This window comes from Homo sapiens, chromosome 5, assembly GCF_000001405.40.
Source record: "Homo sapiens chromosome 5, GRCh38.p14 Primary Assembly".
In the NCBI taxonomy this organism is placed as follows: Eukaryota; Metazoa; Chordata; class Mammalia; order Primates; family Hominidae; genus Homo; species Homo sapiens.
Genome location: NC_000005.10, coordinates 35,928,268 through 35,943,789, shown reverse-complemented (window position 1 = coordinate 35,943,789; position 15,522 = coordinate 35,928,268). Strand labels below are relative to the sequence as shown.

Sequence of the window (15,522 nt, the reverse complement as noted above, 5' to 3'; positions counted from 1 at the left end):
TTCTATTTCCTAAAGTAACATAAAATTCCAAAGTGAAGGATCCCAGAAATAGCCCTGATTGGTTGTCCATCAAGAATCCTTCAACTCACATTCACAGCTCTGTACCATATTTTCCACCAATGCAGTTATTTCTTTTGGACACAGTATCTCCATAAATTCTCTGATTAGAATGCAACATGTATCTTGGAATAAGACATGCCTAATGTCTGAGCACAGAGAAGAAGCTCATCACACTGACATGGAGACCACGAGTCAGAGAAGAAATCTTTGGTGGAAGATTGCCACAGATCAGGGATTTGGGCAGTTGGAATATAGGTACCTGGGCTGGGGCTTACCCAAAGTGAAATGGAAGAACTGGTGAAGCTTATCTTCATGTGTTCACTATTTCACTTCTTGTTTCCTAGGCTGTTTTCTCCTGGCTTTCCCCCATACCTCCACAAACCCCTGTCATGTGGGCTGCACCAAGCAAAATCATAGGGGTGGAATTGCCTGAGGCCTTGAGGGCTCAATCCTAGCCCAGTGTGTCCAGGAGGTGGCACATGGAGTCAAAAGAGATTATTCTCTAGCTTTAAAATTTAATGTCTGCCTGCTGAGTTTTGGTCTTACTTGGAGCCTGTTACTTTTGTTGGGAAAGGGAGCATGGAAGGGTGCTCTTTCTCACTTTTGGAATAGGAATGTCTGTCTTATGCCGTATCACCATTGTATCTTAGAAGTTGTTACCTTATTTTGATTTTACAGGTTCACAGATGAGACTCTGGATTTTGGACTACTGAGTTGATGCTGAAACCAGTTAAGACTTTGGAATTAGAGGGTTGGAATGAATGTATTTGTATGTGATAAGGACATGAGTTTTTGGAGGGCAGGGACAGAATGTTGTGGCTTGACTGTGATTTTCTTTTATCCGACCATCCCTGGATTTAGGTCTAGTAATCATCGGCTGATTGCCATATTGTTTTTATCAATGATCTAGTATAAAACAGGTTGATCCAACCAAATTCAGATTCCTTTAAAAAGATGGTTTTTAAAGACAATGTTTGAGATTTTTTTCGGACCTAAGAAGGGCCCCTCCCAGCTGTCTCTTTTCCCAGTTTCCTCTGGCAAGTTAGTCACCCTACAGTTTCACTTGTATCTCCAATGAATCTACCCATCGCCTACCAACTGCCTTTCACAGCTAAGTCCACCGTTTCTTTGTTTTTTTCTGTTTGAGTTCTCTTAGGCTGGAACCACTCCATAGTTTTTGTTGAAGATAGAGCCAATTCCTTTGCAAAGTCTATCAGTCAGGGTTCCTCATTAAAACAGAGCAGTAAGGTACCTTTTTTTTTCAAGGAATTGGCATAAATGATTTTGGAATTTTAAGAGTTGGCAATCTGAAATCTGTAGAGCAGGCCAGCAGGCTGGAAACTCTTGGGTGGGAACTGATATTCCAGTCCTGAGGCAGAATATCTTCAAAGAAACTTATTGCAGATATTAATCACGTCTAAAAAATAACATAAGAGCAACACATAGATTAGGTTTTGATTTAATAACTAGGTACAATGGCATATGTCAAAAAACACAGTTTTATACAACTCTTCTATAGCATACTGGGAATATACTAACTCTTCCCCAGAGTGGAGGTCCTTGGGTGATGTTCACTCTTATTCTTGATATTCTGTAACATAAATACTGTGAAGTAATATATTAGATTTTAAGGAGATAAAGTGAGAAGAATACGATAGTATTCTACACACACAAATTCATAACAAAATACAAGGTAAATACTCAAAACATTTACAATCCTTTTGCAACTGATCATATGGTGATAGCTAGCATTTGTATTTCATATACCTTTGCCCTCAGCAAGTACCGCAATTGACTTTTTGCCTGATTGGGAAGGGGACCCAAATATTCATTCTTGAAGAGTTGGGGTTATTAGTTTTCCTTACTGAATTGGGTTATTGTAGATTTTTTGTTGACTTTAATAAAAGGGCATGGGCATAATTAGTGATGTGTTAACAGAGTTCCTTTATTCCAGGCTTACTCTTCTTTTTAATGACCTATAACAGTAAACCAACGAAATGATTGCAGCTGTGACAAGTGCTACAAAGAAGATGAAAACATAGTATTCGCTACTCTTTTTCCAACTTTTATTTTATGTTCTGGGGTATATGTGCAGGTTTGTTACACAGGTAAATGTGTGCCATGGTGGTTTGCTGCACAGATCCTCCCATCACCTAGGTATTGAGCCCAGCATCCATTAGCTATTCTTCCTGATCCTCTCCCTCCTCTCCCCACACCCTGTGACAGGCCCCAGTGTGTGTTGTTCCCCTCCGAGTGTTCATGTGTTCTTATTATTCAGCTCCTATTTATAAGTGAGAACATGTAGTATTTGGTTTTCTGTTCCTGCATTAGTTTGCTGAGGATGGCTTCCAGCTCCATCCGTGTCCCTGCAAATCACATGATTTTGTTCCTTTTAAGGCTTACTCTTTACATCAATGTGTAGTAGCAACTCAATTTCCCTTAGTAATCAGGTCTTGCGTGATAAATCCAGTCCAACATTTCAGTCTCCCTAAGCCTTTAGATACCTTCCTCTTCAGTGTCCCAAGGTAATTCTGGTATTTCAGCTTCATTTAGCGTAGGCCACCCTTTGTTTCATCCTTAACTCAACCAAACCCATCGAGCTGCAACTCTATATTGAGAATTTGTGCTTTGTGGGCCTGTATCAATAAATTCACCTTGAGTCAACTTTATGTTCCTTCTACCATTATTTCACACTATTAACTTACATTCTCACATGTATTCACCAGATTTCTGTCTGTATAAATTGAAAAAATACGCATTACTTTTGGAATGTAGTATGTCTCCCATTGGTTCGCAATTTTAATCTCTCTTTCAAGCCTGTTGGGACTAGAGTCTTATTTATAGATATAGATATAGATAGATATAGATATAGATAGATATAGATATAGATATAGATATAGATGATATAGTTCTACAAGCCAAGAGGTTTGGTGGAAGTAGGTTCTGAGGATAATCAGCAGTGTCTTCCAGTTAAAATACCTCAGAGGTGCTAGTACACTTTCCTTTGAAAAATCAGGATGAACCTTCTCAGACATGAATAGCAGGGTTGCTCCTACTGGCAAAGAAGATGCAGGAGAATTTAGAGGTTAAGTGTCCTCAGCTTCATCAGGATCTACCCTACAGGTTTCATTCCGATTTTCAGAATCTCATTCCTTCCTAATCAATTCCCTCAGTTTAGCAGAAGATACTTTGCCTGGTTGGGAATTCAATTTGCACTGTAATTCTGCCACTCTCAGGATGAGACTCCAGATTTGATTTTCTGAAACCTCAGGCTGATGACAATGGGAGATAAGTACGTTCCTCCAGGAAGACATAGAAGGTTTCAGATCATTTATGTGGAGCTTGAACTTGGAATTTCAAGCCCTGAGTTCATCATTTTTCTTTACTTTGTCTACCACAGTTACAAGCAGTCATCCTCATTACATTTATTAGTTTGACTAAAATATTTTAAGCTATCATGATTACCTAGAGATTTGCCATTTATGAATATTTGATTAGGAATCCAGTAGTAATATTTTACAAATCTTTTTACCGTATTACACCATAGACTATCATTGTCTTCTTTACCACTGGAAAGAGTACTTATGCCTTAAAATATAATCAATATTTTATATTGATTGTCAGAAACCCAATACCACAAACCCAGATCCAGTTTTTTGAACTGGTAAAACCCTTGGAATTACACCAGTTGCTAGCAGTGGAAACAAGCAAAAGCATTGCTTAAGTACTCCAGAGATTTTGTTCTTTTTACTTTATTTGACACAACCTGGAGGCAGACTATTGAGGGCTTGCACGGTGGCTCCATCATGCTGTCCGTTGTCCCAATTTTCCTGTTTCTTTTTTATCTTTTCTTAAATTATTGCACCAAACTTACTCTCCAGTAGGTGGCTTTCAAGAAATACTTCATATTTAAATGCCCATGCCCTCATATTTGCTTCTGCATTCACAGATGAAATTAAGTTTCTTCTTAAAAGTTTCAAATGCGTGATATCTTGTGGGTTAAACCACTGAAAAGAAAACATTAGACATCTGAGGTTGCCCTGGAAGAACCACAGTTCTAATTGCTTAATTCTGGGACAATTCTTCAGACAATTCAGATAAAAGGATGAAATAGCTACTATGTATACTCCCTGCAGATATAGCAAAGGACCCAAGCCCTTGTCAAATCCATGAAAGAACTTGCCTAGTAGTCTGCAGAGCTGGGTGCCTGGCATCTATTCCGTTTTGTGAGTTCTTATACTGCAAGGATGTTGCACACAGCCAGGATTATGTTATATACAGAGATGTGTGTGTGTGTGTGTGTGTGTGTGTGTGTGTGTGTGTGTGTGTGTGTCAGAGAGAGAGAGAGAAAGAGAGAGGTGTAAGGTCTGAATCACCACTAATTATACCTGCCTGCTCCTGAAAGCAGGACGTGCAGGAGTGGGAATGACAAGGATAGGGTGGATGTCATAGATACACAATGAAAGAGAGCATAGTGTAGATATTTTCCTCCAAATAAGCCACTAGATTTCTTCTTATCTGGCAAAGTAACTGCTAGGGAACATGTGAAAAACATAAGTAAAAAGAAACAAAAAGAGAAAAGAAGAGAAGAAACCAAGGATGAAAACAGCAGAAATGACATCCTCTGCAAATGCAGAGAAGGAGGGAGAACCTTGAATCACCTATAATTACCCCTGCCTGCTCCCAAGAGTTGTGGTTTTAAGTATCACCTGGCAATGAGGCACCCTAGCAGTAAGCTTTCTGGGGACTACAGAAGGACAGGAAGGTGCTGCCTAAAAGAAAGAAGACAATGTGCTGAATACTACCTTACAAAACATGGGAGACAAGTTTTGATGCTGTTCTAGAAACCAAACCATTGCCAGCAAAACTTCTGGCTGGCTTCTCTCCCAGTGCAAATGGCTTGAGCTTTCACAGTCACTGAGATTTCCTAGGCAACAGGAGTGTAAACTTGAGAAAAGGCAGAACCAGAGTAGAGATTGACAGTGAGCTGAGCCAATCAGGCTGTGAATCTGCAGCAGTGATCCCAGGTCCTCCAATTAATACTAAGAGAGTGGACCAGGGCCCCTGAGGAAGACAGGTAAGAGGGAGGAGGCTAAGGTGGCTTGGGAGGGACCAGTTTTCCTAGATGCAGGAGACAGCGTCCATAGTTTCAGTTCGAAGCAACTGGTGGCAAAAGGTTAGCATTTAAGGTAAATCAATGTTTTTATCTATTCTATGATTTAATGTTTTTTTTTTTCTTGGTATGTCTTAGCTGAGAAAAGAAGACAGTAGATGTTACTCTCTAAAAAGAAAATCTAAAAGTCTTTTGAGAGTTCTTGGACTAGAGAAGCCATCACTAGGCTGTCAGTGCAAGAGGAAAGAGCTTGGTACTGGGAAAGATTTTTGTAATCTTTGCAAAAAAAATGCTTAGATAAAAATGCACAAAAATAAATTTCATTCAGTAAAGGGGAAGGAAGTAAACATTACTGAGCAGTCATTAGGTACTAGGTATTTGAGTGTGAAGGGTTTGGGTGAATTGCTCTAACGATCCTGATGACCACTGATAAAACTGAGCTTCAGGGAGGTTCAGCATTTCCAAGTCACAAAGCAATAAAACATTTCAACTTTCATTCAGACCTTGCTTTGTCTGATACTTAAACTTATGCTATTTCTGCTATACACTGACAACTGAGAATCAGAATAAAAATCAGGATGCTTATTAAAGTGTACATACATGGCTTGTTCAAAATTATATCAAATAGTTGATTTGATTCATCAGAGACTTGAGGGGGTCCTTTACGTTCTCATTAAAGGACAACACCAATGACCCAGGCAGCCATCTCTATTGCCTTCAGTCTGGGGAGTATTTAAACCATATTAAGTAGATGAAATTCTTACCTGTTTTTTTTTTTTGACTTATTTTTTCCTCAAATCCTACAACCACAAAAATCTATTTTGTTATTGAAAGTTTTAAATATTGAGATTTGAATTTCAGGCATACATTTGTATTTATATTCTGATAAAAATTACCCAATAGCAATGACAATGATAAATTCTAATAGCAATAAAATAGCCTCCTGCTAAGCCCTGATGATATGGTGATAGTAAATGCAAAGGATACAGCTCTACCTCGTAAGGACCTTATAGTCTGTCTAGCAGGGCAAGTAATTCGAAAACGAATTACATTGTCTTGCAATGTGAATGCTATTTGGACTTCACCACATGATCATGGAAGGATGGGTGGGACTTCTCTGGGCCAACAGGAAAAAGAAGGTGTACCTGCAAGTGTGACTACATGTACAAAGGCACAGAGATACAGAATGCTATGGTGTGTTTGGGGAATGTGAGTGAGTAGAGATGCAGGATAGATTTTGAACGGATGGAGAATTACTAGAAATGGCTGGAGACATAGGAAAGGCCAATGCATGAATTCAATGCTAAGAACTTTCATTTTACCTGTATGCAATGGGGGACCATCAAAGGGTCTTAAACTATATCATGAAGTTCATGTTTTCATTTTCTAAAGATTGCTCAGTCTTTTGAAAGACAAAGTACAGAGGGCAAAGCTAGGGGCAGGAAACCAACTAGGAGACATTTGCAATGGTGGAAATGAGAAGTGACCATGTCCTAGGCTGAGTCAGTATCCATGGCAATGGAGATGAGGGAATGGAAATGCGGGATGTGTCAAGGTAGTGAAACTCTATAGGACTTAGCTGCTATTTGGATGTAAAGGGTTAGGAAGAGTCTAGGATAATGGTCAGTTAATGACCCAGGTAAATGGTATTGCTGTTTCCTGAAGCAAAGAGTAAGGAAGATAGGTAATGAATTTGGCTCTGGAACATTAAACTGAAAGTGTCTGTAGGTCATCCAAGTGCACATGTTTTGTGAGAAATCTGGCTCCAGAGAGTGCCTACATTGGAATAAAGATTTGTTAGTCATCATTGTATCAGGGGATATGACTGAGATTGCCATAAGATAGTGGAATAGTGAGAAGAGAAAGATAACTGAAGCCTGAGAAACAGCACTTAAGAAGCAGGTGAAGACAAGGAAGAAACAAAATAGGACAGATCCAAGAGGGAGGAGGAGAGACAGGGAGTTAGATTTATAGCCATTGAGAGAAAGGGTGTTAAAAAGGAAGAATGACCAATAGTCAACTAGTTGGAGAAGTGAACTAAGGGCTAATGACTGTTGAAGTTGGCAATCAGGTTAGCAATGACTTATTGAAGAGTATATTTGTTGGAATGACAGGGTGAAGACCATATTGAAATGGACCGAAGTATGAATGGGGCATGAGAAAGTAGAAAATCTGGAAATTCTTTAAAATAGTTTGACTTTGAGGGGTGATAGCTAGAGGGAGTCCAGGACTGAGGGACCACAGCGGATTCATGAACTAAAAGAAGGAGCTGCTGGAGAGGAGGAAAAGGGCATAACTGATGGCTGAGAATCTTAGAGGGGTAGGCCTCTGTGTTGCAGGTAGAGAGGGCATCCTTAGATGGGAGGAAGTTCAGCAATCTCTTGGAGGAGGGAGGAGGGAGGATGAAGTCAGGATGCCCTTAGAGCGCTATACTTTTATAGATTTGGAGGAGGATGATGTGAATTTGTTCATAACTGGTGGTTCCATTTTTTTCTGGGTCTTTCAAGGCAAGGTCTGGAGTGGCAAAAGTTTGGATTAGCCTCTGAGGAGACTGGAATAAGAACCTGACCAACATCATATAAAAGTTGAGTTGTGTGTTGCAGAAGGCCTAGCTGTGGTTAAAGAATAAATACAGTGACACCTGTCCATGCTGGCATGTGGGTTTATTCAGCTGCACTTCAGTCTGCCGTTAAGTACATGGAACATGGGCAAATTGAACCAAGTTAGCTATTATTCTGAGATGGTGGGAGGTTGAAAAATGAGGGTCAAGAAGGGAGGCACTGGTACCAGATGGTCAGAAAGATGCGCAGAGTGTGTAAAATGGATAAGAAAGGAAGTAGATCCAGAAGGGAGAATGAGGTAGGTAATGGCTGGGGTGAAAATGTAGGGCCAAAAGTCTGGAGGTACCATAAGGTCAGAAGCAAGTTGGAATAATGGAACTGAACACTGCAGATAAAGTCAATCTTGAATTTTGAACTTTCAGTCTGGGCACCGTGGCTCATGTCTGTAATCTCAGCATTTTGGAAGGCCAAGGTGGGAGGATTGCTTGAGCTTAGGAGTTCAAGACCAGCCTGGGCAACATAGCAAGATCCTGTCTCTACTAAAAATAAGAAAAAATTAGTTGGGTATTGTGGTGTGCACCTGTAGTCCTAGCTACTCGGGAGGTTTCGGTGGGAGGATCACTTGTGCCCAGGAGATTGAGGCTGCAGTGAGCTATGATGACACCACTGCGCTCCAGCCTGGGCAACAGAGTGAGACCCTGTCTCAGAAAAAAAAAAAAAGAAGTTTGGACTTTCAGAGGAGACCAGATTTGGTTGGGAGGGAATGCCGAGACAACAAACAGATGGAGTTGAGTTGGTAGAAATCAAGGAGCTCCAGGAACTTCATAGCTGCCTGTTGGATGGATTGTCTAGATGAGCTCTGGGTTTTCCCAGATTGATGACACCACTTGAAATGGAGAGTACATCTCTGAGGCAACATTCAGAGTGTCAGTGATTTATAAACTGACAGAACCAAAGAGAAACATAGGAAGTTTGTCCAGCTAGGCTGTGCTTCAAAGAAGGATGTGGATATAGGTCATGATGTGGAGGTGACAGGGTGCATCTTAAAATCTGTGAGGTTCCTTAATACTTAGAATTTGGGGTAAGAGGTGCTTTCATCTGAGAAGACTGCAAGAGGGGTAGGTTTCCTTATGCAAAATCAGATACCATCCAGGATAAAGATATTGTACCAATCAGTGTCTTGGCAGGAAATTGATGGCACATTCAAAGGTAGTAACAGAAAAGAGTTTAATGAAGGACAATTCACAGAAGTGTGGGTAGGAATAAGGAATATAGAGAAAGCATAATGAGACACCCAGCAATGCCACAGTCAGAAGGGACAAGAAAGGTGTTACCCATAGCCTTAAAGGGGCAAAAGGAGGAGTGGTTTTCATATCTCAATCAAAGCATTTCTGTAGGGAGGGCTGCCTTTGGTGAAGGATATGGTCACTGAAAAACTGTGGCTTGGCAGAAAGGAAGCTGGGGAAATAAATACTCCAGCCTCTATCTCCTCCTCTCCTCTGATCTTCTACTGATGCCTCCCAGTGGTGGAATCCAGCTGGAAGCCAGCAAGCAAGGAAGTGTGGTTAACACAGTTTATGGAGGTCGACCTCTTGTAGCACAGATGTGGGTGGGGAATGGATCAGGAGAAGCACACAGGCAAACAATATTCAGCTCAGCAGTGACGATTGCTGTTCAGAAGTTGATCAAGATGAGGAGGCTTATAATTGAATAAGGAATAGAGGAAAATCTGGGTGTCTGGATGGAAGGTATGCTTGGTCCCAAGAGGGCCAACGTCTGCTGTAACTTGTGGAGGTGGTGGTGAGGTGCTCAAGAGCAAGGAGTGGGAGTGTTTAGCTCGTGGAATAACACTTTTGGCTTCAACCATTGCTTTAATCTCTGGATGAATGAAATAAGAATTTTCCTTGTAACATGTTGCTCTTTATTCTGATATCAGACAGCTTTGTATAAAGAAAACATATCAAGGTTCACAAGAGCAGTTTTCTATATTTCAGAAGTCAACAGAATGGCATTTGGGAGAAGATGGCATTACAAGACACTGAACTGTAGAAATGGCCACGTGTTGGCTTCTCACGGGATTCTCAATCCCATGAACACTTGTTCAATTTATGATATTCTTTAGAGCAGATTGTCTCCCACATTTTTAGCCATAATTCCATTGCCACTCAGCATCTTGTTTTTCCTGCAGTCTGAGAATAGTTTTAAAATTCTTGTATATTTTCTTGTAACCTGAAGTCAAATAGAATTAAAATTTCCCAAACTAAAAAGTGTAGTTTGAGAGAGCAGGACAGTTCTCTGTTGAGAGGTGGATGACAGCTCTTCTTACTTTCTTTGGAAGTTCTGCTTAGTGTGTGTCCCCTCTGCAGTTACCCCTCTAGCTTGGACAGGAGTTCTTCACACCGAGGGAGGAGCAGGCAAATGCTCTTCAGTAACAAACAGCATCAGTCCTTCTTACTTAGTGTGCTTTGGACTCAATATTGCTAATAAGCTTGACCCAGTTTTTATAAATGAGTGCCCTGTGGTGACCACAGGGGTTTCCTGTTTAAAAAATGAACATTTTCTGAGATGTTGTGGATAATTTACAAAAGGCTGCTGGGGGACTGGCAGATGCAACAGGCCCTGCTCAGAATCTTGGTTTTTCTACCAATTTGTGAACTGAGACAACCTCCAAATCTCTCTGTACCTCAGTTTCCTTATTTTGTAAAAAGTGGATATAGCTATGTCTGTAACCTATAAGAATTGTTATCAAGACTTATTTTATACCAGACAAATTTTCTGCTCTAAACAAACTGACTTTGAAAAACTTGCAAAACACAGGCCACCCTTTTAGCAGAGAACATGGGACAGAGTAAGTGTGCAGTAAATGTTTCCTATTACTGTTGTTCTTATCTTTTGCATAGTCCCGGAGGTCAGCAAAGTGTTTCTATATAAGGCCAGAGAGTAGGAAATTTAGGTTTCATGGGCCAGAAGGTCTATGATGCAACTATTTAACTTTTGAGTTGTAATGTGAAAGCCGCCACAGACCATATAGAAATACACGTATGTGGTTGTTTTCCAGTAAAATGTTATTTACAAAACCAGGTGGAGGGCCAAATTTGGTCCATTTGGTGTGGTCTGATGTCCCAGGCCTAGATTATTTTAGGTTATGTTTGCCTGCACTGAGGGCATCCTTCATAACTGCCCGTGGAAAAGTGAGCCTTATTTGGTTTGGGTGAACAGAGGTGAAAAGGGAAAAATCATCAATGTGTTGACGTCTGCCCTTAGGGCTTTCCTTAGTCTTCTGCATCAGAGTGATCCGGTTGCTCCATATGTTTAGAAAGCTTCATGCTCCACATAGTTTTGTGAAATAAGCTGATTTAGACATGCTCACACTCTTACTTTCTGGAATAACAATATTTCTTCTGCCAACTGAGGCAGAAACTGTAAGGTGCCTACTCAATAGCCACTGTCTTCTTTTTTATAAACAGAACCTTAGGGGTGGCAAATTATTCAGCCAAAAATCAGGTTTCCCAGACTCCTTTGGAGTGGCTGATAAGATTTACATAGAAGGAATTGGGTGAATCTTCTGGGAACCACTTCAGAAAGAGCTGATTTCGCTGGGAAGAGCATCCTTCTTGCCTTTTGCCCTTTTTCTTTTCTTTTGCTTGGAGTGTGGAGATAATAGCTGGAGCTGCTATGGCTATTATGTAGGAATATTATGTATCTTTAGGTAACTTTGAGTAGAGTCTGGAAACATTGATGACTACTTGAAGCACTTCCAGTCTTCTTTTACATGAGAGTAAAGTAAATCTCTATCATTTTCAGAGATATGACCTGTTTCTATTATGAGTCGCTGGACACAATTTATAACTGATACACTGATTTACGCTGATGTTGGCACTATGACATTGGATTTCTATCCCTTAACACTTTTTGGTTTTCTGGAAGTATCAGTTAAGAACAACTAGGATACAAATAATTGACTAGATTTCTAGGTGGCCATAAAATAAACATTAAAATAGACAAATGACTCCAAAAGAAGCATTCATTCTAAGGGACTGCAAGATAGTTACTAAGTGATTTTCATGACTAATGGCTGCAAAAGGGCAAATGTCCACCAGAGCTGTGTCTTTACTTGCATCTAAAAGGGTGATAGAAGATGTACCAGTTGGGCTTTGTCCTTGCAGTGGGTTTGAAACAATTGTCTGAGGTCATGACTTCATGGCAAAAATGGAATATTTGAAAGCTACCTGGTTGGTCTTAAGCACATAAACACTGAAACCAACCGAAGTTTTACTTTTCTTTTGTCTTGGTTTTATTTATTTATTTCTCTATATTGCAATTCAGCTAACTCTTTGCTTACCTTTGCATAGTTTAGGTAGCTTCTTACTCTGTTTCTTTAAGATGTTGCATCGAGCAGGTTGACCTAACTCAGAATACATTGTAAGTTATTTCTTTGTAAAAACCCCAGAGACTCAAGGCACAGCAAAGGGAAAAAAAGCAAGATGGAGAAGACAGCAAGGAGAGAGCTATTAGGAGAGTGAATGCCCCCTGACATTCCCAGTGGATGCTTATTATGACAAGGACCCTACAACCTTGGGGCCTCTGTATTTTATTAAACCTTGTTTTTTTTTTTTTGTAACACATTGTGTCAGTTACATGGGTTCTTGAATATTATGCTAAGCTGTTTATTTTGCTCTCTTTCATAGTCAAAAGTGCTGGAGAGGCTGTTACTTGACAAAATTCTACTGAGAGAAGAGGTTATAATAGAGTGACTTTCTCTCTCCTCATGAGTCTCAGGGGTAGTTGAGTCTCTTCTCACATTGGATTGCTAGTTATTTTACCCAGCTAAAGGTCAATATTTAGGGTCAGCCCAAACATTGCAGGAATAAGCTTTTTGCCGTCTGTATCAGTTAGGAATATTTTTGACAGCAAGTGACTGAAGACCTGACCAACAACAGATTAAACAGATAATACAAAGAGATTATGTTTCTTACAAGACAGGATCGTGAAGTCAAGAAGTTGCCAACATTAGTTCAGCAGCTCGATGATGTCAGGGCTCTAAGTTGGCATGGATATGATTCCCTTGGCCCTTCCCTCATGATTGCATAGAGGCTGGCATAGCTCTGGACATCACATCCTCACTCAAGGCACAAGGAAGGCAAAAGAGATGAGAGAGATATTCCAGAGCTCTCAGCACTTTCCTTTGGGTCCCTTTGGCTAGAACTGGTTCCTGTGCCTACCCAGTAGAAAGTGGAATAGGGCAGAGAAAAAGGGAAATAGAATGACTTTGTCTCAACCAGGTGGCAGTGTCTAAAAAATTAGCTGTAATTCAAATTTAATCAAGTTAAAACTACTTCTAGGAATGTAAACTTCCAAGGGTTGGAAGCTTGGCTGTCTCATCCGTTCCTCTTGTATGGCACATAATAGGTGTTTAATAAACATGCATTAATGCAGAACCAAGACTAGAGTGGGGCAAGGTAGGTGTTTAGGGTGCACCATTTAAGGAGACAATCATTCTCAGGCTTGGGCAAGTGTATGGTTGACATTTGCACGATTCTGAGACTGTGTGCCTCTTTAAACATTGTGCCTTTCTCTTACTTAGCCCTAGCCCCAACCCTGGTTCAGTGAATAAAGTGAAATATGAATATGTATGAAGTAAACACTTTATCACAATGATATTTATAAAATATTATTTTTAAAATGTACCATATCACAAACATTAAAATAAGGACTGAATTCACATCTCAAAGCTCAATAGAAAGAAGTAAAGACTATGGTTTAGCATAAATGGGCTCTACACAAACCTGCCTATTGAGAGTGGCTGCAACATGCATTTTAAGCATTTCGAGAAAATGTATTCTGATACAGAGAAAATGTGGTAAGATGCCAGACTTCGGTGACATCTTATTTCCACAGTATGCTATGTCACTTAAGTGTAGATGAAATGCCGTCATACTTTATGTGGTATGTGGAAGTTGACAATCCAAACAAAAACCAGATGTTTCATATATTCATACATTTTAGAAAAAGTTTTTAAAATAAATTGTGGGAAAATAGTAAATGGTATAAAAGATAATCAGTGCAGAAGTTTTGAGTTTGATTTAAAAACCCTCACACATCATTTTAATTAAAACAAACAGAAAAAAATAGCTGCTGCAAGAGGAAGAGGCTAAGTAAAATTTTTCTTCTTAACCATAAGGTATTTACACTGAGCCTTAAGGATTTGAAAACCCAAGCAAGGACCTAAGATGGGAGAAGGGGTCATGTTTAGGGACTGTGAGTGGCCCAGATTTGCTCTGCACTCCGGTCCTCACTCTCTGCTGGTATGAAATCTAGCAGCACTCCAAAGCATTCTTTTCCCTGAAGCTTTTCCCTTCCTGCATCTCTTACTTCATGGACCTTCTCTGAGTCCCCAAAGCAATTTATCGGTTTTAAGCAACATCATGGTGTAACTGTTGAATGCAGTGACTTAGAACTGTTTTCAAGGCCGGGCGTGGTGGCTTACGCCTGTAATCCCAGCATTGTGAGGCCAAGGTGGGTGGATCATGAGGTCAGGAGTTCGAGACCAGCCTGGCCAACATGGTGAAACCCCATCTCTACTAAAAATACAAAAATCAGCTGGGTGTGGTGGCAGGTGCCTGTATTCCTAGCTACTCGGGAGGCTGAGGCAGGAGGATTGCTTGAACCCGGGAGGCGGAGATTGCAAGGTTGCAGTGAGCTGAGAACGCACCACTGTACTCCAGCCTGGGCAACAGAGCGAGACTCTGTTTCAGAAAAAAAAAAAAAAAAAAAAAGGAACTGTTTTCAACCCTGGCTCTGCTACTCCCTGGTAGCGCATTCTCAGACAAGTAACCTGGGTTCTTCAGGTCTCTGCTGACTTCCTGTAATAGGGCAGTAGTATTTGATAGAATCCACCACATGAGGCAATGTGTGGATATATGTAAAGTCCTTAGACAAGGACTTGGCCCCCAGCATAGTTACAACTGTATTTACTACCTCTTCTCTTCATGCCTTTATCTTGCCCTGTGTTGTGTTATAATAAGGCCTTACTCCTCTTACTAGAGGGTGACCTTGTATTTCCCGTAGCTTATGTTCTCAAACTTAGGGATACAGGAAAACCAACTAAAAACAATAAAGTGCCCAGCCGCAGCATCTACACCAAGAGAGTCTAATTTACTGTGCTTGGTGAGTGCTGTGGGCATCTTTGTTTTTCAACAGCACCCACGGTGGTCCCAGGTCTTTCTCTATATCAGGGCTTCTCAACTTCAGCACTGCGGACATCTCTGACTGGTAATTCTTTGTTGCCAGGGGCCATCTTGTGTATCTTGTGCAGAATGTGTAGCAGCATCCCTGGCCTCTACCCATTAGATGCCAATAACACTCTACCCTACTTCCATTGCAACAACCAAAAATATCTCACAGGAGGCATTATCAAATGTCTCCTGGGGGTGGGGGGGATTGTACCCAGTTGAGAAGCACTTCTCTATAATTATCACCTGAAGAGTTAGCACAGTGCCTTGCATAGCTTGTGGTACTAAGGGCACATTCAGTTGATTCAAACTCAAATGGGCTCCGTGAAGTAACTCTCACGATGTCAACAACACTGACACACACTCTTATCTGAGGCTTCTGTGTACTGCAGAAGCCACGTATTCAAACTGTCAGAGTCTTCAATTTCAGTCTCTTCGGGAGGACATCACTATTTATTCACTTCCTAGCCGCCTGCTAGGCTATACTCAACACCTAGTGCTATGGTTTGAATGTTTGAAATTCATGTTGAAACTGAATCCACAATACAATAGTATT

General features: G+C 40.6%; 1 protein-coding gene and 1 long non-coding RNA gene across 5 annotated transcripts in view; one reads left to right on the top strand and one right to left on the bottom strand.

Moving 5' to 3' along the window:
* Positions 1–3,796: 3,796 nt before the first annotated feature.
* On the bottom strand, positions 3,797–4,989 carry CAPSL-DT (CAPSL divergent transcript). Its single transcript, NR_104630.1, has 2 exons — positions 4,866–4,989; positions 3,797–4,067 (listed from the first exon to the last, which is right to left on the bottom strand). It is a non-coding gene; the product is annotated as a CAPSL divergent transcript (long non-coding RNA).
* A 21-nt stretch (positions 4,990–5,010) lies between these two features.
* Positions 5,011–15,522, top strand: part of CAPSL (calcyphosine like) — a 34,492-nt gene continuing 23,980 nt past the window's right edge. For 2 of the 4 annotated variants that reach the window (XM_006714444.4, XM_006714445.4), the window contains exon 1: positions 5,168–5,236. In XM_006714444.4, coding sequence (XP_006714507.1) covers positions 5,186–5,236 — 51 coding nt within the window. In that variant the 5' untranslated portion in view covers positions 5,168–5,185. Of the gene's footprint in view, positions 5,138–5,167; positions 5,250–15,522 lie in introns of those variants that run through there. The other 2 variants (NM_144647.4, NM_001042625.2) reach the window with 2 other exon arrangements.